Consider the following 21,340-nt stretch of genomic DNA (forward strand, 5'->3'; position numbering starts at 1 on the left):
ATTTTTAGAGTTTCCAGTTTTTCTGCTCTGTTTTTTCCCTATCTTTGTGGTTTTATCTACCTTTGGTCTTTGATGATGGTGACATACAGATGGGGTTTTGGTGTGGGTGTTCTTTCTGTTTGTTAGTTTTCCCCCCAACAGTCAGGACCCTCAGCTGCAGGTCTGTTGGAGTTTGCTGGAGATCCACTCCAGACCGTTTGCCTGGGTATCAGCAGCGGAGGCTGCAGAACAGTGGATATTGGTGAACAGCAAATGTTGCTGCCTGATCATTCCTCTGGAAGTTTTGTCTCAGAGGAGTACCAGGCTGTGTGAGGTGTCAGTCTGCCCCTACTGGGGGGTGCCTCCCAGTTAGGCTACTCGGGGGTCAGGGACCCACTTGAGGAGGCAGTCTGTCCGTTCTCAGATCTGCAGCTGCGTGCTGGGACAACCACTACTCTCTTCAAAGCTGTCAGACAGGGACATTTAAGTCTGCAGAGGATTCTGCTGCCTTTTGTTTGGCTATGCCCTGCCCCCAGAGGTGGAGTCTACAGAGGCAGGCAGGCCTCCATGAGCTGCGGTGGGCTCCACCCAGTTTGAGCTTCCCGGCCACTTTGTTTACCTACTCAAGCCTTGGCAATGGTGGGCACCCCTCCCCCAGCCTCGCTGCCGCCTTGCAGTTTGATCTCAGACTGCTGTGCTAGCAATGAGCGAGGCTCCGTGGGCATAGGACCCTCTGAGCCAGGCGCCAGATATAATCTCCTGGTGTGCCATTTGCTAAGACCGTTGGAAAATCGCAGTATTAGGGTGGGAGTGACCCGATTTTCCAGGTGCCGTCTGTCACCCCTTTCTTTGACTAGGAAAGGGAATTCCCTGACCTCTTGCACTTCTCGGGTAAGGTGATGCCTCGCCCTGCTTCGGTTCATGCTCGGTGCGCTGCACCCACTGTCCTGCACCCACTGTCTGACACTCCCCAGTGAGACGAACCCAGTACCTCAGTTGGAAATGCAGAAATCACCTGTCTTCTGTGTTGCTCAAGCTGGGAGCTGTACACTGGAGCTGTTCCTATTCGGCCATCTTGGCTCCTCCTCCAACAATGGATTTCTTAGCAGAAATCTTACAAACCAGAAGACATTGGTGGCCTATTTTTAGCCTTCTTAAAGAAAAGAAATGCCAGCCAAGAATTTCACAGCCTGCCAAGCTAAGTAAGCTTCATAAACAAAGGAGAAATAAAGTTTTTCCCAGACAAGCAATTGCTAAGAGAATTTGTCACCAGCAGATAGGCCCCACAAAAATGCTTAAAGGAGTTCTAAACATGAAAATAAAAGAATGATACTTGCTGCCACAAAAGTACATGTAAGTTCAAAGCAACTGCCACTATAAAGCAACTATACAATTGAGACTACAAAGCAATAGTTAACACTAAGAGAGGAAGAAAACCTCACGTATCAGTATTAACGCTGAACATAAATGGCCTAAATGCTTCACTACAAACACAGAATGGCAAATTGGATGAAAAAACAAGACCCAACCATCTGCTATCTTCAAGAGACCCATCTCACATGTAATGACACCCAAAGGACTTGATGTAAAGGGATGGAGAAAGATCACACAAATTTAAAACAAAAAAGATCAGGGCTTGCTACTCTTGTATCAGATAAAACAGACTTTAAATCAACAACAGTACAAAAGGAGAAAGAAAAGTACTACATAATGATAAAAGGTTCAATTAAACAAGAGGATTTAACTATCCTAAATATGTACATGCCCAACACTTGAGGACCCTGATTTATAAACAATTACTACTAGATCTAAGAAAAGGGACAGACAATAATATCATACAATAATAGTGGACACTTTAACACCCCACTGATAGCATTAAACTGATCAAGGCCCAAAACTAATAAATTCTAGACTTAAATTGGACACTTGACCAGTTGGTCCTAATTAGCATCTACAGAACACTCCACCAAACAACCACAGAATATACATTCTTTTTATCTGCACACAGAACATAGTCTAAGACTGACCACATACTCAGTCATAAAGCAAGTCTCAATAAATTTTTTAAAAAACTGAAATCATACTAAGCATCTTCTTGGACCATAGTAGAATAAAAATAGAAATCAATACCAAGAGGAACTCTCAAAGCCACACAAATACATGGAAAGTAAACAACCTGCTTCTGAATGACTTTTGGAAAACAATAAAATTAAGGCAGATATTTAAAAAAATTTTTGAAACAAATGAAAGTAGAAACACTACATACCAAAACCTCTGAGATATGGTAAAAGCAGTTAAAAGGAAAGTTTACAGCATTAAATGCTTATACAAAAATAATAGAAAGATCTCAAATTAACAACCTAATGCTGCACCTACAGGAACTAGAAGAACAAAAAGAAACTAAATCAAAAGCTAGCCGACGAAAAGAAATAACTAAAATCAGAGCGGAATTAAATTAAATTGAGACCAAACAGCCATAGAAAAGATCAAAGAAAAGTTGGTTCTTCAAAAAGATAAACAAGATTAATAAACTTCTGGAAAGATTAACACATGAAAAAAAGAGAAGATTCATAAACACAGTCAGAAATAACAAAGGTGACATTACAACGGATCCCACAGAAATACAAAAGATCCTCAGAGACTACTATAAACATCCCCATGTGCACATACTATAAAATTAGGAAATGAACAAATTCTTGGAAACACACAATCTCCCAAGATTGAACTAGGAAGAAACTGAAACCTTGAACAGACCAATAATGAGTACAAAATTGAAACAGTAATAAAAAAAAAAAACTACCAATCAAAAAAAAAAGTCCTGGACCAGATAGATTCACAAGATATACAAAGAAGGCTGATGCCAATCCTACTGAAATTATTGAAAATAAATTAAGATGGAGAGATTCCTCCCTAACTCATTCTACAAGACCAGTTTCATCATGATATCAAAATATGGCAAGGGCACAACAAAAAAAGAAAACTACAGGCCAATGTTGCTGATGAAAATAGACACAAAAATCCTCTATAAAATATTAGCAAACTAAATCCAGTAGCACATTAAAATGAAAATTTGTATGATCAAGTGAGCCTTATTCCTGGGATGCAAGGATGGTTCAACACACACAAACCAATAAATGTGATTCCCCACATAAACAGAATTTTAAAAAAGAATATGATCACCTCAATATACACATAAAAAGCATCTGATAAAATCCAACATTGCTTTATGATAAAAAACACTTAACAAATTAGGCATCAAAGGAAGATATCTCAAAATATTAAGAACCACCTATGACAAACCCACAGCCAACATCATGCTGAATGAGCAAAAAGTTAGAAGGATTCCTCCTAAGAACTAGAACAAGACAAGGATTCCATTCTTAGCAATCCTATTCAACATAGTACTGGCAGTCCCAGCCAGAGCAATCAGGCTAGAGAAAAAAATAAAAGACATCCAAATAGGAAAAGAGAAAGTCAAATTATCTCTTTGTGGACAATTTAATTCTGTACCTGGAAAATTCTAACAATTCCACCATGACTCCTAGACTTGATGAGTGACTTCAGTAAAGTTTCAGGACATAAAATCATTTTACAAAAATCAGTAGTATTTCTATACTCCAATACCATTCAAGCTGAGAATGAAATCAGTAATGCAATCTCATTTACAGTAGCCACTCACACACAAAAATACTGAGGAATACATTTACCCAAGGAGGTGAAAGATCTCTACAAGGAGAACTACAAAACACTGATGAAGAAAATCATAGATGACATAAACAAATGGAAGTGCATTTAATGCCCATGGAAGGAGACTTGGTATCATTAAAATGTCCATACTGCCTGAAGTAATCTACAGAATCAATTCAATTTCTATCAAATTACCAATGTTATTTTTTTGTAAAAAATAAAAAAACCTAAAATTCATATAGAACCACAAAAGACCCAGAATAGCCAAAGTTATCCTGAGCAAAAAGAACAAAACTGGAGGAATCACATTACCTGACCTCGAATTATACTACAGAGCTGTAACCAAAACAGCATGGTGCTGGCATAAAAACAGGCACATAGAACAGTGGAACAGAATAGAGAACCCAGAAATAAATCCATACATCTATAGTGAATTCATCTTTGACAAATGTTCCAGGAATCTACGTTTGAGAAAAGACAATCTCTTCAATAAATGGTGCTGGGAAAACTGGATATCCATATGCAGAAGAATGAAACTAGACTCCTATCTTTTGCCATATACAAAAATCAAATCAAAATGTATTAAAGACTTAAATCTGAGGCCTCAAACTATGAAACTACTAAAAGAAAACACTGGGGAAACTCTCTAGGACACTGGCCTAGGCAAAGATTTCTTCAGTAATATCCCATAACCACAGGCAACCTAAGTAAAAATGGACAAATGGACTTGATTGCACATCAAGTTAAGAAGCTTCTGCACAGCAAAGGAAACTATCAACACAGTGAAGAGACAACCCACAGAATGGGAGAAAATATCCGCAAACTACCCATCTGACAAGGGATTAATAACCAGAATATATAAGGACCTCAAACCACTCAACAGGAAAAATCTGATAATCCAATTTAAAATGGGCAAAAGATCTAAATAGACATTTCTAAAAAGATGACATACAAATGGCAAACAGGTACATGAAAAAGTGCTCAACATCACTGATCATCAGAGAAATACAAATCAAAATGACAATGAGTTATCTCACCCCAGTCAAAACAGCTTTCATCAAAAGGACTAGCAATAACAAATGCTGGCGAGGATGTGGAGAAAAGGGAACCCTCTTACACTCGTACACTGTTGGTAGGAATGTAAACTAGTACAGCCACTTATGGAGAACAGTTTGGAGGTTCCTCAAAAAACTAAAAATAGAACTACCATACAATCTAGCAATCCCACTGCTAGGTATATACCCAAAAGAAAGGAAATCAGTATATCAGAGATATCCGCACTCCCATGTTTATTGCAGGACTAGTCACAATAGCCAAAATCTGGAAGCAACCTAATTGTCCATCAACAGATGAGTGGATAAAGAAAACTGTGGGACATAAACACAATGGAGTACTATTCAGCCATAAAATAGAATGAGATCCTGTCATTTGCAACAATATGAAAGGAACTGGAGTTCTATTACGTTAGGTGAAATAAGCCCGGCACAGAAAGACAAGTTTTGCACGTTTTCACTTATTTGTGGAAACTAAAAGAATTAAAACAATTGAATTCATGGAAACGGAACATGATTGTTATCAAAAGCTGGAAAGGGTAGTGCATGAAAGTGGGAATGGTTAATGGGTACAAAAATTAGATAAAATGAATAAGATTCAGTATTTGATAGCACAACAGGGTGAATATAGTCAACAATAATTTATTGTACCTTTAAAAATAACTAAAAGAGTGTAACTCGATTGTTTGAAATGCAAAGAAAGGATAAATGCATGAGGTGATAGATACCCATTTACCCTAACGTGATTAGTTTGCATTTATGCCTGTATTAAAATATCTCATGTATCCCATAAATATATACATCTACCATGTACCTACAAAAATTAAAAGTAAAAAAAAAATTTTTTTTAAGGCACAACTTACAGAAAACAGGGGAAACAGCGTAAGAAAAAGACTTCAACATTGGGCAGATCCAGGTTCAAATCTTTGTTCTGCCCTTAGTTGGAAATATTTTATATAATTATTTTATCCTTTCTATATATGCTTTGTAAAGTTGTAAGGATTAAAAAAAACAATAAATATACAGTTAATCCTTGAACAACACAGGTTTGACCAGCACAAATCCACTTACACACAATTTTTTTTTCTGCCTCTGCCACCCGAGACAGCAAGACCAACCCTCTTACTCCTCCTTCCTCAGCCTACTCCACCTGAAGATGAGCATGAAGACCTTTATGATGATCCACTTCCATTTAAAAATAGTAAATATATTTTCTCTTCCTTATGATTTTCTTAATAACATTTTTCCTTTAGCTTTGTTGTAAGAATACAGCATATAATACACATAACATAAAATATATGTTACTCTATGTTACTGGCAAGGCTTCCAGTCAACAGTAGGATATCAGTAGTAAAGACTACGGGGAGTCAAAAGTCGTATGTGAATTTTTGACTGTGCAAGGGGCCAATGCCCCAACCCCCATGTTGTTCATGGGTCAATAGTAGAGTGGTTATAATATGCCTGGCATAAAACAAGCAATAAACTATAGGAACTGTTGTTACTATGATGTATATCACGACTATTTGCCAATGATCTAGTTGTAGGCTAAAACCCAGAAAATTAACTTAAAATTGGCAGAACAGGAAAACTCACTGGATAAGAGGATAAGCAAAAACTCAAAATGTCTGCAAATATTAGCAATATTCTGTTAGGAAAAAAAACCTTTAAAGATTGAAATGGAATTATAAACTATCTAGAAATAACCTTTATAAGAAATACAACAGATAAGTGTGAAAATGATCAAAATTTGTGTAAGAGATATAAAAGAAACTATGAGTAAATGTAGAAATTTAACTTGTTTCTGTATAAAAACTATTATAACTATGTCAATTCTTCTTAACTTGTAGGTTTAATATAATACTAATCAAAATTACAATATGATTGAAAAAAAAAAAGAAACAAGAATTACCCTAAAAATGTATCTGGTAAAGAAAAAGAGAGCAAATAACTAAGAACAATAAGTGTAAAAAGGAGAGTAAAGGGGAAATGCGGAAAGAATTCTATTAGAAATTAAAGCATATTGTAAATAATTACTAATACAACGAGGTACTGGCAGAAAAGACAGAGTAACAGAGCAAAGGAGAAAGCCCAAAGGAAGATATAGCTTGATACATACTTGCTATAGATTCATTCACTGTTTTATATAAGAATTTAATAAATCTTACAAGTAGCATTATAAATCAGTGACAGAAGGATGATGTAGTCATTAAATTATGCTGGGATTTTGATAAGCTACTTGGTAATAGTAAATTAAAAATTTTAAAATAAAGTAAGGGCCGGGCGTGGTGGCTCATGCCTGTAATCCTAGCACTTTGGGAGGCTGAGGCGGGCAGATCACAAGGTCAGGAGTTTGAGACCTGCCTGGCCAACATGGTGAAACCCTGTCTCTACTAAAAATACAAAAATTAGCCAGGCGTGATGGTACGTGCCTGTAGTCCCAGCTACTCGGGAGGCTGAGGCAGAAGAATCGCTTGAACCCAGGAGGTGGAGCCGAGATCGTGTCACTGCACTTCAGTGAGCCGAGATCGTGTCACTGCACTTCAGCCTGGGTGACAGAGCAATACTCCATCTCAAAAAATAATAATAATAAATAAATAAGATAAATTAGTTCTGACTTCAAATCAATCTCCCAAATAACTTCCACATTGATTATTCTTAAATGCGAGAGAGACAGAGAGACTGAGAAAGAGAGAGGTAATGAGAAAGGGTGAGAGAGAGAATGAGAATGAAAAAACAGAAAAAAAAAAGCACAAGAAAATTATAATACTGATGTACTACCCAGGAAGAGCTATAAAAATGTTAATACAACCAGGATTAAGAATATGAGCTAAATCTTACATGCTCTTCCCACACTTTTTTTTCTCTCTCATAAGCCTCCTTTCTCTTTCGTTCTAGTTGTTCTTTTAGTACAGCAGCACGTGCATTTGCATGGGCCTAAAAATAAAAACAATTAACAAAATGAGTTACCAGAAAGAAGGGCAGAGGTTTTTTTTTTTTTTTTTGGGCCAGGTCTATGAAGATATTTACTTATTAGCCAAAAAAGAAGTGTGCATGTGGTCTTAGAATAAAAATGTAAGCTCACTCTAAATCTCTAGCACCTAAAACCAGCCTTGACATACAGCAGGTGTTCAATAAATATTTGCTGAGTGAAAATAAAGGCAGGTATATTTGAATGTGAAAAAAATGTAAAAATTTAAAACAATTATTATACACAGACTTCATTTGCCTTCATGGGGATGTATATTCGTATATTTTTTATTTTTAAGGTTACCATTTTTTTCAAGATTACTTATATGATAGTTTCATGTATTTATGCCATGGTTTTATCTATTTTCATAAACATAATACAAAAAGAGAAAAATACTATTTTTAGAAACCAAAAAGTGGAGGAGAAAGATGAAAGAAAAATTAAAGGAAGAGACTAAAGTGATATAACTATGCAAAACTTAAGAACACAATTTGCTATCTCAGCTTTCAATTTTCTCTAAGAAAACCTGTATCATTTCTAGTCTATACCTTCAGTGATTCGATTTTTTTGCGCCTCATGTCAGCCTCTTCACTTCCTTCTTGTCCTTCAGAATGATTAGCTTCTTTCTACAAAATAAGTAGATAAGCAAATCACTTAGGATAGAATCATCAAATTGAGTGCAGAGCTCTGTGAAAGATAACAATGAATAAACTAAAATCTAAAAATATAAAATGGAAATCATTTAATGCTGTTAGTTTTCTCCTAAAGCTGCAACTGAACTCTCCACCACTATCAGCCTTTCAGAACAATGGAACAAAAAGATAATGATATAAAATGCATTTTAATCCTCCCATGAATACTAGTTATATTTTCCTCTCAGAATTTCTCTGGAACAAATGGTCTTATCAATTTAAAATCACATATATAAGATTTACTTTATGTGTAGTTTTTTGATCTTTGAACTTCCACTGTCGTCATCAGTTTTGTTGTTGTTGTCGTTGTTGTTAATGGCACAGCATTTTAAATGTTAACCTACTATGACATCATTCAATTTCTTCAAAAAAATAGCTTTTCAACCTACCTTTTCACCACGAAGTTTGGCTTTAATCTGTTGGCGCTCATTGAAATTCTGTAGTCTTATTTGCCTCAGTCTTGCCAGATAAACCTACAAGGAGGCAAAAACCCCAACATAATAATGTAAAAGCAAAGCTATTGACATTTTTACTGCTAGATTTTTTTTAAATTTAAGGAACAGTGTTAATTTGAACACAAGAAATAAAAGTTCTGAAATCCGGTTAATGGAAATGTAATATTAGCTTTCAAGTGTTTAATTAAGAACAATTTATTTCTGAAAAGAAAGAAATACATTATAAAATTACAAATTTTTAATTTAATCAAAAGAAAAGAAACTGAAATCATAATATTGAATAAGTTACGGGGCAAAATTATAACACAGAATGTCAGTCAAAAATATATTAACAGGTCCCTACAGACCTACAAAATCTTCAAATAATTGTTAAGAATTTAAACCATGCAAGAAAAGAAGGCAATAAATTCAAAAATGGCTATGTGATGGAGGTAGCGAACATGCGGGAAGCATACCTCTTCCTCTTTGTTTCTTGGCTTCCCTCCTCTTGAAGAGCTGGGCCTGCCTCCATACATAGCTGCCAGGTTTTGCAGGATTCCCTGTTTATCATTTAATGTACTAAGTTTAAAGAATGACTAAGGCTACATTATTATCTTACCAAGGAATATCCAGGTGCTACTTTATTTCTTTTGGCAAATACTGACCATTTATTGATGATAAACTGTGATAACAAACCCTGGCGTTTTCCTATGTCAACTTGAAATATATATTTAGTGAGAACAGAAGGAAGCAATTAAGCCCCAAACATAATTATTCAAAACAGAGACCAGCTATCTTTGTGTTAGTCACTTAAGAGGGGTTTTTTTTGTTTGCTTGTTTGTTTGTTTGTTTTAAATCACTGCTTTGGAGGTTAAACCCCAAACCAAATTTTCCTCTACAAACAGCCAATCCATTTCGACATATGTCTATATATATACTAAACACATACAAAATAAGATATTTGAGATCACTTTTTCTGAATTCAACAAATGGGTTGTATATTAATTAAGAGATCTCAATCAAACTCTGTGCACTCAGGCATGTTCAGTTACTATACAGCAAATGTTCAAACCCAATCAAAAATGGACTCATTTTTGAACATAGTTTATATATTTCTCTTCCTTCAGCATACGAGCATGCTTCGACTTACTCCCTTAAAAAAAACTCTTTAGTCCCACTTTCCTGTCAAATGTCTTTTTATTGGCTTATTGAATGTGTATTTTTTTTATTCATCATCTCAATTTTCCTGCTTCCCAGTCATTTTTTAGCTCACTACAATCTAGTTTCTGATCCCATTATGACTGAAAATTTTCTAAGGTCACCAATGACTTTCTACTTCACAACTGAAATGAGCCCTTCTGAGTGATTTTTGCATTTAACATTTCCACTGGAAATTAGTTTTGACTGAATCCACTTAATTTATATATGCATTTTTTTCTGTCATAACATAATACATACTCATTATAGAAAATTTATTAAAAAATAAAGAAAATGTGAATCATTTATAATTCTGCCATCTGAGAAACTTAAAATTTGAGGGTACTGTCTTCCAAATTTCCTTCTCTGCATATGTATAATACATACATGTTTATTTTTATAAAACTGGTATTTTACTAGTTATCCAGACAATATTATATCCTGAATCTCTTCCCACATCCATTTAATATTCCTTACAAACACTATTCTTAAGTGACTATATACTATTCATAACACTCCACTATACAAATGTTCTATAATTCACACATTTTTAAAAAGTCTCTCTTCTCTTTCAGTATTTATAATGGCACTCTCTCTTGGGTTCTTTCAATTGTCACTATTTTTCACAGGCTTTTCTCTCCTTGGCTTGTTGCTGAATGTCAATATTTTCTAGAGTTTCATTTGCTGGCCCTCCTTCTCTTCTCATCCCCAGGCTTTAACATATGCTGCCAATTCCCAAACCTTGCAGCCCTTTTCTCTTTACAGCTTTCTGTGTATGTTAAACTGACATCTGGGCAACTCCACTCTTACGCAGCAAAGCTACCTCAATTTATAAACCTGACTTTATCCTTCTTTTTACTATATAATCTTATTCCCAATTCAGTTATTGAACATGATCAGCCACTCAAGTCAGCAAACTAGGAATTACATTTGCCTCTTACCTACTATACTCAAATATGCCAAATTACCAATTCTATCTCCTAATAATTCTATAATTGATCATTTCAGTTTCTGCCTTAGCTCAGCCTCTCTTCTTTTGACTCTTAAATTGCTAAATGAGTTTCCCAACTCATCCTACCTCTAGTCTCACATCCCACAATTCCATTCTCTACAATGCCCTGAGAGTAACCTTTCTCTTTCACATCAAATCCCACACAAATCCTTCAATGGTTACTATTATCTTCAGACTTTAATTCACATTCTGTTGAATGGCAGGTAAAGCCATTTGTGATCTCGCCATTTCTAGTCTCATCTCTGCCACTGCTCAGTCATAAATCCTACATTCTGGCTACGACAACTACTTGTGGTCTGTAAACTGTACCATGATCTCACTCATCCTCTTAAGATGGGTAACTCTACTCATCTTCCAAAACTCAAACCAAGTATCTCACCCCAGAAGCCTCTTCAAAGCCTTCTCTAGGGAGTTAAGTGTGCTTCCTTTGACCTTCCATACCATTTCTTTATAGAAACCTCTCACAGTAGCACTCATTAGAGTGCATTATAATGGTGGAAGCGCAGTATATTTTAGTTAAGAACATGAAATACAGACTCTGAAATCTGTTTTTGTCAACATCACATAAGCACTGTTGATCTTAAACAAAACTGCTTAAACTTGTTGTTAAGTCTAGGCATAAAAACACCTACTTCTTGGGTGTACCAGAGCAAAAAAGTATTACTGTAAGAGCATGCCCTACCTTTTTTCTTTTGCAGCATGACAAAGCACCTTTACTCACTCAGTTTCCTCCCCTCTTCAAGAAGGCCCTTGCAATAGCTTATCAGTATTTGAGCTTTTGAGATATATATAGGTCAAAGAGTTGGGGAGATGAAGGAAAATAAGAAATAAGCAGCGCTGGGCAAAGATGTGAGATAAATTCTGAAAAGGCATATGGGAGTATCTACAAAGTTAAGGGGAGTGGGTGGTAGTGAATTGAGTATTGCTATAGATGATAACTTCCTTTCATGATATTTGAGAAATGCAAGAATCTGAGTTACTCTGAAGTTTTAAAACCTTTTTGGTTTGAAATATTATAGATATACAGAAAGGTGAAAAGAATATACAGGGAGGTCCTGTGTGCCCCTTCACCCAGCCTTTCCCAAATTTCTCATCTTGCATAGCTACATTACACCATCAAAACCAGGAAACTGACATTGATTCAAATTATAGATATAATCTTTTATTTGTGCCGTGCATCTACACAATTTTGTCACTCATGTCATCTTATGTTAATTCCACCCTAATCAAGATGCTTAGCTGTATTATTACTGGAACACTTCATAGCCACATTCACTACCTCCATCCCTAACCCATCGACCATTAAACTGTTCTCCATCTTGATAATTATGTCATAATTTCTATATAGACTCACAATATGTGTCCTTTTGAGACTGAGTGTTTTCATTCAATATAATTATATATGGTCCATCTATGGTATTGCAATGCATCAATAGTTCATTCCTTTTCATTGCAAAGCAGTATTCCATGGGGTGGATATAGTGTTATGATACAGTCTTTTCATTCATTCACCCATTAAAGGGCATTTGGGTAGTTTTAAGTTTTTTTGCTATTACAAATAAAGTTTCTATGAATATTCATGAATGAGTTTCTAAGTGACAACAAGTTTTCTTTTCTCTGGAACATATGCACAAGAATGAAATCGCTGGTTCTTGGTATGAAGTCCATTTTTAGTTTAAAAAGGAACTGTGAAACTATTTTGCACAATGGCTGTATCATTTTACATTCCAAACAACAATGTATAGGTGACCAGTTTCTTCAAAACTTCATCAGCATTTGGTTTTATCACTATTTTTTTATTATAGCCATTTTGATAGGTGTGAAGTGATAACATCATTGTGGTTTAAGTTTGCATTTTCCAAATGATTTGGGTATCTCTTCATGTGTTACCTGCCATATGTATATCCTCTTTGGTGAAATGTTTTGTATAAATTTTCCTCATTTTCTAACTGGATCTTTTATGTTTAATGTTGAATTTTGATACTTCTTTATATTTTCTAAATATAAGCCTTTTGTTGGATAAGTGCTATACAAACATTTCTCTCAACCTGTAATTTGTATTTTCTTTCTCTTAACAGGGTCTTTTGCAGAGCCAAATTTTTAAATTTGGACAAAGCCTGCTCTATCAGCTTTTCCTTTTTTGGATTATACTCTTGGTGTCAAGTCTAATAACTCTTTGCCTAGTACTAGGTCCCCAAATTTTCTTCTCTTTTTACTAGAAGTTTTGCAGTTTCATATGAAAGCCCATGATCTGTTTTGAGGTAATTATTTTATATGGTTTGAGGTTTAGGTCAAGGTTGGTAGAGCTTATGGATGTCCAATTCCTCCCACAATAATATTGAAAAGGTTACTCCTACTCCACTGAATTGCTTTTATGTGTTTGTCAAGAATCAGTTAGGCATATATATTTGTGTGCATCTATTCTGGGACTCTCCATAGTGTTTCATTGATCTATGTGTCTATCCCTTTGCCACTACTATACTGTTTTGATTACTGTAGCTATAAGTTAGCCTCAAAATCAGGAAGAGTTATTCTTCCCAAGTTGTTGTTCTTCAAAATTGTTTTAGTTACTTTAAGGTCTTTCTCTTTCCATATAAATTTTAAAATAAGCCTGTCTATATTAAAAAATATTTTCTGAGATTTTAGTAAGAATTGCATTATCTCTCCAATTTAACAAGAATTGCCATTTTTACTGTTGTGAGTCTTCTGATTCATAAACAATGTATCTCTCCAAGTATTTAGGTCTTCTTAGATTTTTTTCACCAGCATTTTGTCATTTAATTGCATTTAATATTGCATATGTTTTGTTAGCATTCTTTTTCACATTCTTTGGAACAACTGTAAATGGCATTACATTTTTTGTATCAGTTTCCACTTGCTGTCAATATATATAAATTCAATTGATTTTTGTGTACTGATCTTGTATCCTGCAACTATAATGAATTCACTTTTTAGTTTCAGGAGTATTTTTGTAGAGTTCTGGGAATTTCCCATTCAGATAATCATTATCAACTTGAAATAGCAACAACTTTATTTCATCTTTTCAATTCTGTATGCCCCTTCTTGCTTTATTGCAGTAACTACAACTTACAGTACAATGTCAAATATGAGTGGTAAAAGTTACATGCTTGCCTGTTCCCTAATTGTAGAGGGAAATCCTTCAGTCTTCTACCTGTATAATATTAGATGCAGGGTTTTTGCAGATGCCTATTGTGAGGTTCAGAACATTCCCCTGTATTTCTAGTGTGCTGACAGTTATTATTTTTTTAAATCATGAATGGGTGCTGATTTTTTTCAAAAGATTTTCTGTATCAATTGATGTAATCATATGAATTTCCTTCTTTAGCCTGTTGATATGGTGAATCACATTGATTTTTTAATACTGTAAAATACTTGTACATCTAGACTAAATTCCACTTGGTTGGGGCTGGATATAATTTACTAAAATTTTATTGAGGATTTTTGTTATTTATTTATTTATTTATTTATTTATTTATTTTTTGAGACAGAGTCTTGCTCTGTTGCCCAGGCTGGAGTACAGTGGTGCAATCTTGGCTCACTGCAAGCTCCACCTCCCGGGTTCATGCCATTCTCCTGCCTGAGCCTCCTGAGTAGCTGGGACTACAGGCGCCTGCCACCACGCCTGGCTAATTTTTTTGTATTATTAGTAGAGACAGGGTTTCACCATGTTAGCCAGGATGGTCTTGATCTCTTGACCTCAGGTGATCCACCTGCCTCGGCCTCCCAAAGTGCTGGGATTACAGGCGTGAGCCACCGCACCCGGCAAGGATTTTTGTATTTAATTTCATCAAAGATACTGGTCTGTAGTTTGCTTTTCTGTGCTGTCTTTGGTTATGGTATTAGGGTAATACAGTCTCAAAATGAGTTGATTAGTATTCACTCCACTACTACTTCTGGGAACAGATTGTAGTGTTGTATCAAATTGGTGTTAATTCTTCTTTGAATGTTTGGTAAAATTTTCCAGTGAAACCATCTAGGCCCAGAGATTTTCAATAGTTTTTGAATCACGAATTCAACTTTTAAAACAGTTATAGGAAAATTTAAGATATCTGTTTCAACTTGGCTAAGTTTTGGTAGTTTACGAATTTTATAGGATTGGTTCATCTCTTCTAAGTTGTTGAATTTATGAATGTAAAGTTGAATTTATCCTTTTAATTGTTACAAGATCTATAATTATACCCATTTTTTTCTGATATTGGTGATTTGCGTCTTTTTTATCTTTGTCAATTTTGCTAGAGACTTATCAAATTCACTTTTATGTTTCTAAGAGTCAGTTTTTTGTTTCATTACATTACTCTATAGTATTACTGGTCTCAATTTTATCAGTATCTATTCTTAATTACTTCATTCTGCTTGATTTGGGAATATTTTGCTCTTTTTTTTCCTAGTATTTTGAGTTAGGAATTTACAGTGATTTGAGACATTTCTTCTACTGTCTGCATTTAGTGCTATAAATTTCCCTCACAGAAGTGCTTCAGCTCTCACACATTTTTGTGCGTTGTGTGTCTATTTCCATTCTGTTCTATGTACATCTAAATTTCCTTTCAGATTTCCTCTTTGACCCATGGTTTATTTAAAAGTGTGTTAATTTTTAAATGTTTGGAGATTTTCCTGTCACCTTCCTGCTACTGATTTCTAGTTTAATTCCACTGTTCTCTATATTTGTAAAGGTTTTATAATTCAGTATATTATCTTGATGAATTTTTGATGGGTGCTTAAAATGTGTATTTTGCTATTGTGGAGTGGAATATTCTGTAAGTGCAAATTAGATCCTGGTGGTTAGTGATGGTGTTTAGCTATTCTATATCCTTGCTGATTTTCTGTCTAGTAGTTCTATCAATTGCTGAGAGCAGGATGTTCAAGTCTCAACTGTAATTGTGAACCTGTTTACTTCTTCTTTCAGCTCTATTAGTTTCTGCTCTCTATATTTTAAAGTATGGTTATTTGGTGTATACATATTTAGGATTGCAATAACTTCTTTTTTTTTTTTTTATTATACTCTAAGTTTTAGGGTACATGTGCACATTGTGCAGGTTAGTTACATATGTATACATGTGCCATGCTGGTGCGCTGCACCCACTAATGTGTCATCTAGCATTAGGTATATCTCCCAATGCTATCCCTCCCCCCTCCCCCGACCCCACCACAGTCCCCAGAGTGTGATATTCCCCTTCCTGTGTCCATGTGATCTCATTGTTCAATTCCCACCTATGAGTGAGAATATGCGGTGTTTGGTTTTTTGTTCTTGCGATAGTTTACTGAGAATGATGGTTTCCAATTTCATCCATGTCCCTACAAAGGATATGAACTCATCATTTTTTATGGCTGCATAGTATTCCATGGTGTATATGTGCCACATTTTCTTAATCCAGTCTATCATTGTTGGACATTTGGGTTGGTTCCAAGTCTTTGCTATTGTGAATAGTGCCGCAATAAACATACGTGTGCATGTGTCTTTATAGCAGCATGATTTATAGTCCTTTGGGTATATACCCAGTAATGGGATGGCTGGGTCAAATGGTATTTCTAGTTCTAGATCCCTGAGGAATCGCCACACTGACTTCCACAATGGTTGAACTAGTTTACAGTCCCACCAACAGTGTAAAAGTGTTCCTATTCCTCCACATCCTCTCCAGCACCTGTTGTTTCCTGACTTTTTAATGATTGCCATTCTAACTGGTGTGAGATGATATCTCATAGTGGTTTTGATTTGCATTTCTCTGATGGCCAGTGATGATGAGCATTTCTTCATGTGTTTTTTGGCTGCATAAATGTCTTCTTTTGAGAAGTGTCTGTTCATGTCCTTTGCCCAGTTTTTGATGGGGTTGTTTGTTTTTTTCTTGTAAATTTGTTTGAGTTCATTGTAGATTCTGGATATTAGGCCTTTGTCAGATGAGTAGGTTGCGAAAATTTTCTCCCATGTTGTAGGTTGCCTGTTCACTCTGATGGTAGTTTCTTTTGCTGTGCAGAAGCTCTTTAGTTTAATTAGATCCCATTTGTCAATTTTGGCTTTTGTTGCCATTGCTATTGGTGTTTTGGACATGAAGTCCTTGCCCACGCCTATGTCCTGAATGGTAATGCCTAGGTTTTCTTCTAGGGTTTTTATGGTTTTAGGTCTAACGTTTAAATCTTTAATCCATCTTGAATTGATTTTTGTATAAGGTGTAAGGAAGGGATCCAGTTTCAGCTTTCTACATATGGCTAGCCAGTTTTCCCAGCACCATTTATTAAATAGGGAATCCTTTCCCCATTGCTTGTTTTTCTCAGGTTTGTCAAAGATCAGATAGTTGTAGATATGCGGCATTATTTCTGAGGGCTCTGTTCTGTTCCATTGATCTATATCTCTGTTTTGGTACCAGTACCATGCTGTTTTGGTTACTGTAGCCTTGTAGTATAGTTTGAAGTCAGGTAGTGTGATGCCTCCAGCTTTGTTCTTTTGGCTTAGGATTGACTTGGCGATGCGGGCTCTTTTTTGGTTCCATATGAACTTTAAAGTAGTTTTTTCCAATTCTGTGAAGAAAGTCATTGGTAGCTTGATGGGGATGGCATTGAATCTGTAAATTACCTTGGGCAGTATGGCCATTTTCACAATATTGATTCTTCCTACCCTTGAGCATGGAATGTTCTTCCATTTGTTTGTGTCCTCTTTTATTTCCTTGAGCAGTGGTTTGTAGTTCTCCTTGAAGAGGTCCTTCACATCCCTTGTAAGTTGGATTCCTAGGTATTTTATTCTCTTTGAAGCAATTGTGAATGGGAGTTCACTCATGATTTGGCTCTCTGTTTGTCTGTTGTTGGTGTATAAGAATGCTTGTGATTTTTGTACATTGATTTTGTATCCTGAGACTTTGCTGAAGTTGCTTATCAGCTTAAGGAGATTTTGGGCTGAGACGATGGGGTTTTCTAGATAAACAATCATGTCGTCTGCAAACAGGGACAATTTGACTTCCTCTTTTCCTAATTGAATACCCTTTATTTCCTTCTCCTGCCTGATTGCCCTGGCCAGAACTTCCAACACTATGTTGAATAGGAGCGGTGAGAGAGGGCATCCCTGTCTTGTGCCAGTTTTCAAAGGGAATGCTTCCAGTTTTTGCCCATTCAGTATGATATTGGCTGTGGGTTTGTCATAGATAGCTCTTATTATTTTGAAATACGTCCCATCAATACCTAATTTATTGAGAGTTTTTAGCATGAAGCGTTGTTGAATTTTGTCAAAGGCTTTTTCTGCATCTATTGAGATAATCATGTGGTTTTTGTCTTTGGCTCTGTTTATATGCTGGATTACATTTATTGATTTGCGTATATTGAACCAGCCTTGCATCCCAGGGATGAAGCCCACTTGATCATGGTGGATAAGCTTTTTGATGTGCTGCTGGATTCGGTTTGCCAGTATTTTATTGAGGATTTTTGCATCAATGTTCATCAAGGATATTGGTCTAAAATTCTCTTTTTTGGTTGTGTCTCTGCCCGGCTTTGGTATCAGAATGATGCTGGCCTCATAAAATGAGTTAGGGAGGATTCCCTCTTTTTCTATTGATTGGAATAGTTTCAGAAGGAATGGTACCAGTTCCTCCTTGTACCTCTGGTAGAATTCGGCTATGAATCCATCTGGTCCTGGACTCTTTTTGGTTGGTAAACTATTGATTATTGCCACAATTTCAGAGCCTGTTATTGGTCTATTCAGAGATTCAACTTCTTCCTGGTTTAGTCTTGGGAGAGTGTATGTGTCGAGGAATGTATCCATTTCTTCTAGATTTTCTAGTTTATTTGCGTAGAGGTGTTTGTAGTATTCTCTGATGGTAGTTTGTATTTCTGTGGGATCGGTGGTGATATCCCCTTTATCATTTTTTATTGTGTCTATTTGATTCTTCTCTCTTTTTTTCTTTATTAGTCTTAATAGCGGTCTATCAATTTTGTTGATCCTTTCAAAAAACCAGCTCCTGGATTCATTGATTTTTTGAAGGGTTTTTTGTGTCTCTATTTCCTTCAGTTCTGCTCTGATTTTAGTTATTTCTTGCCTTCTGCTAGCTTTTGAATGTGTTTGCTCTTGCTTTTCTAGTTCTTTTAATTGTGATGTTAGGGTGTCAATTTTGGATCTTTCCTGCTTTCTCTTGTAGGGATTTAGTGCTATAAATTTCCCTCTACACACTGCTTTGAATGCGTCCCAGAGATTCTGGTATGTGGTGTCTTTGTTCTCGTTGGTTTCAAAGAACATCTTTATTTCTGCCTTCATTTCGTTATGTACCCAGTAGTCATTCAGGAGCAGGTTGTTCAGTTTCCATGTAGTTGAGCGGCTTTGAGTGAGATTCTTAATCCTCAGTTCTAGTTTGATTGCACTGTGGTCTGAGAGAGAGTTTGTTATAATTTCTGTTCTTTTACATTTGCTGAGGAGAGCTTTACTTCCAACTATGTGGTCAATTTTGGAATAGGTGTGGTGTGGTGCTGAAAAAAATGTATATTCTGTTGATTTGGGGTGGAGAGTTCTGTAGATGTCTATTAGGTCTGCTTGGTGCAGAGCTGAGTTCAATTCCTGGGTATCCTTGTTGACTTTCTGTCTCGTTGATCTGTCTAATGTGGACAGTGGGGTGTTAAAGTCTCCCATTATTAATGTGTGGGAGTCTAAGTCTCTTTGTAGGTCACTGAGGACTTGCTTTATGAATCTGGGTGCTCCTGTATTGGGTGCATAAATATTTAGGATAGTTAGCTCCTCTTGTTGAATTGATCCCTTTACCATTATGTAATGGCCTTCTTTGTCTCTTTTGATCTTTGTTGGTTTAAAGTCTGTTTTATCAGAGACTAGGATTGCAACCCCTGCCTTTTTTTGTTTTCCATTGGCTTGGTAGATCTTCCTCCATCCTTTTATTTTGAGCCTATGTGTGTCTCTGCACGTGAGATGGGTTTCCTGAATACAGCACACTGATGGGTCTTGACTCTTTATCCAACTTGCCAGTCTGTGTCTTTTAATTGCAGAATTTAGTCCATTTATATTTAAAGTTAATATTGTTATGTGTGAATTTGATCCTGTCATTATGATGTTAGCTGGTTATTTTGCTCATTAGTTGATGCAGTTTCTTCCTAGTCTTGATGGTCTTTACATTTTGGCATGATTTTGCAGCGGCTGGTACCGGTTGTTCCTTTCCATGTTTAGCGCTTCCTTCAGGAGCTCTTTTAGGGCAGGCCTGGTGGTGACAAAATCTCTCAGCATTTGCTTGTCTATAAAGTATTTTATTTCTCCTTCACTTATGAAGCTTAGTTTGGCTGTATATGAAATTCTGGGTTGAAAATTCTTTTCTTTAAGAATGTTGAATATTGGCCCCCACTCTCTTCTGGCTTGTAGGGTTTCTGCCGAGAGATCCGCTGTTAGTCTGATGGGCTTTCCTTTGAGGGTAACCCGACCTTTCTCTCTGGCTGCCCTTAACATTTTTTCCTTCATTTCAACTTTGGTGAATCTGACAATTATGTGTCTGGGAGTTGCTCTTCTCGAGGAGTATCTTTGTGGCGTTCTCTGTATTTCCTGAATCTGAACGTTGGCCTGCCTTGCTAGATTGGGGAAGTTCTCCTGGATAATATCCTGCAGAGTGTTTTCCAACTTGGTTCCCTTCTCCACATCACTTTCAGGTACACCAATCAGACGTAGATTTGGTCTTTTCACATAGTCCCATATTTCTTGGAGGCTTTGCTCATTTCTTTTTATTCTTTTTTCTCTAAACTTCCCTTCTCGCTTCATTTCATTCATTTCATCTTCCATTGCTGATACCCTTTCTTCCAGTTGATCGCATCGGCTCCTGAGGCTTCTGCATTCTTCACGTAGTTCTCGAGCCTTGGTTTTCAGCTCCATCAGCTCCTTTAAGCACTTCTCTGTATTGGTTATTCTAGTTATACATTCTTCTAAATTTTTTTCAAAGTTTTCAACTTCTTTGCCTTTGGTTTGAATGTCCTCCCGTAGCTCAGAGTAATTTGATCGTCTGAAGCCTTCTTCTCTCAGCTCGTCAAAATCATTCTCCATCCAGCTTTGTTCTGTTGCTGGTGAGGAACTGCGTTCCTTTGGAGGAGGAGAGGCGCTCTGCGTTTTAGAGTTTCCAGTTTTTCTGTTCTGTTTTTTCCCCATCTTTGTGGTTTTATCTACTTTTGGTCTTTGATGATGGTGATGTACAGATGGGTTTTCGGTGTAGATGTCCTTTCTGGTTGTTAGTTTTCCTTCTAACAGACAGGACCCTCAGCTGCAGGTCTGTTGGAATACCCTGCCGTGTGAGGTGTCAGTGTGCCCCTGCTGGGGGGTGCCTCCCAGTTAGGCTGCTCGG

General features: G+C 36.3%; 1 protein-coding gene across 23 annotated transcripts in view; it reads right to left on the minus strand.

Moving 5' to 3' along the window:
* The window catches only part of NEK1 (NIMA related kinase 1), a 219,775-nt gene that overhangs the window by 106,672 nt on the left and 91,763 nt on the right, over positions 1-21,340 (minus strand). For 12 of the 23 annotated variants that reach the window (NR_164630.1, NM_001440625.1, NM_001440624.1 and 9 more), the window contains 3 exons: positions 8,768-8,851; positions 8,235-8,312; positions 7,557-7,652 (listed from right to left, as the gene is read on the minus strand). Coding sequence is in view for 22 of the 23 variants with exons in the window: in NM_001440625.1 (NP_001427554.1) it covers positions 7,557-7,652; positions 8,235-8,312; positions 8,768-8,851 (258 nt within the window). In the remaining variant the exon portion in view is untranslated. Of the gene's footprint in view, positions 1-7,556; positions 7,653-8,234; positions 8,313-8,767; positions 8,852-9,288; positions 9,373-21,340 lie in introns of all 23 variants that reach the window. The other 11 variants (NM_001440622.1, NM_001199398.3, NM_001199397.3 and 8 more) reach the window with 2 other exon arrangements.

Source organism: Homo sapiens, chromosome 4, assembly GCF_000001405.40.
Source record: "Homo sapiens chromosome 4, GRCh38.p14 Primary Assembly".
NCBI lineage: Eukaryota > Metazoa > Chordata > Mammalia > Primates > Hominidae > Homo > Homo sapiens.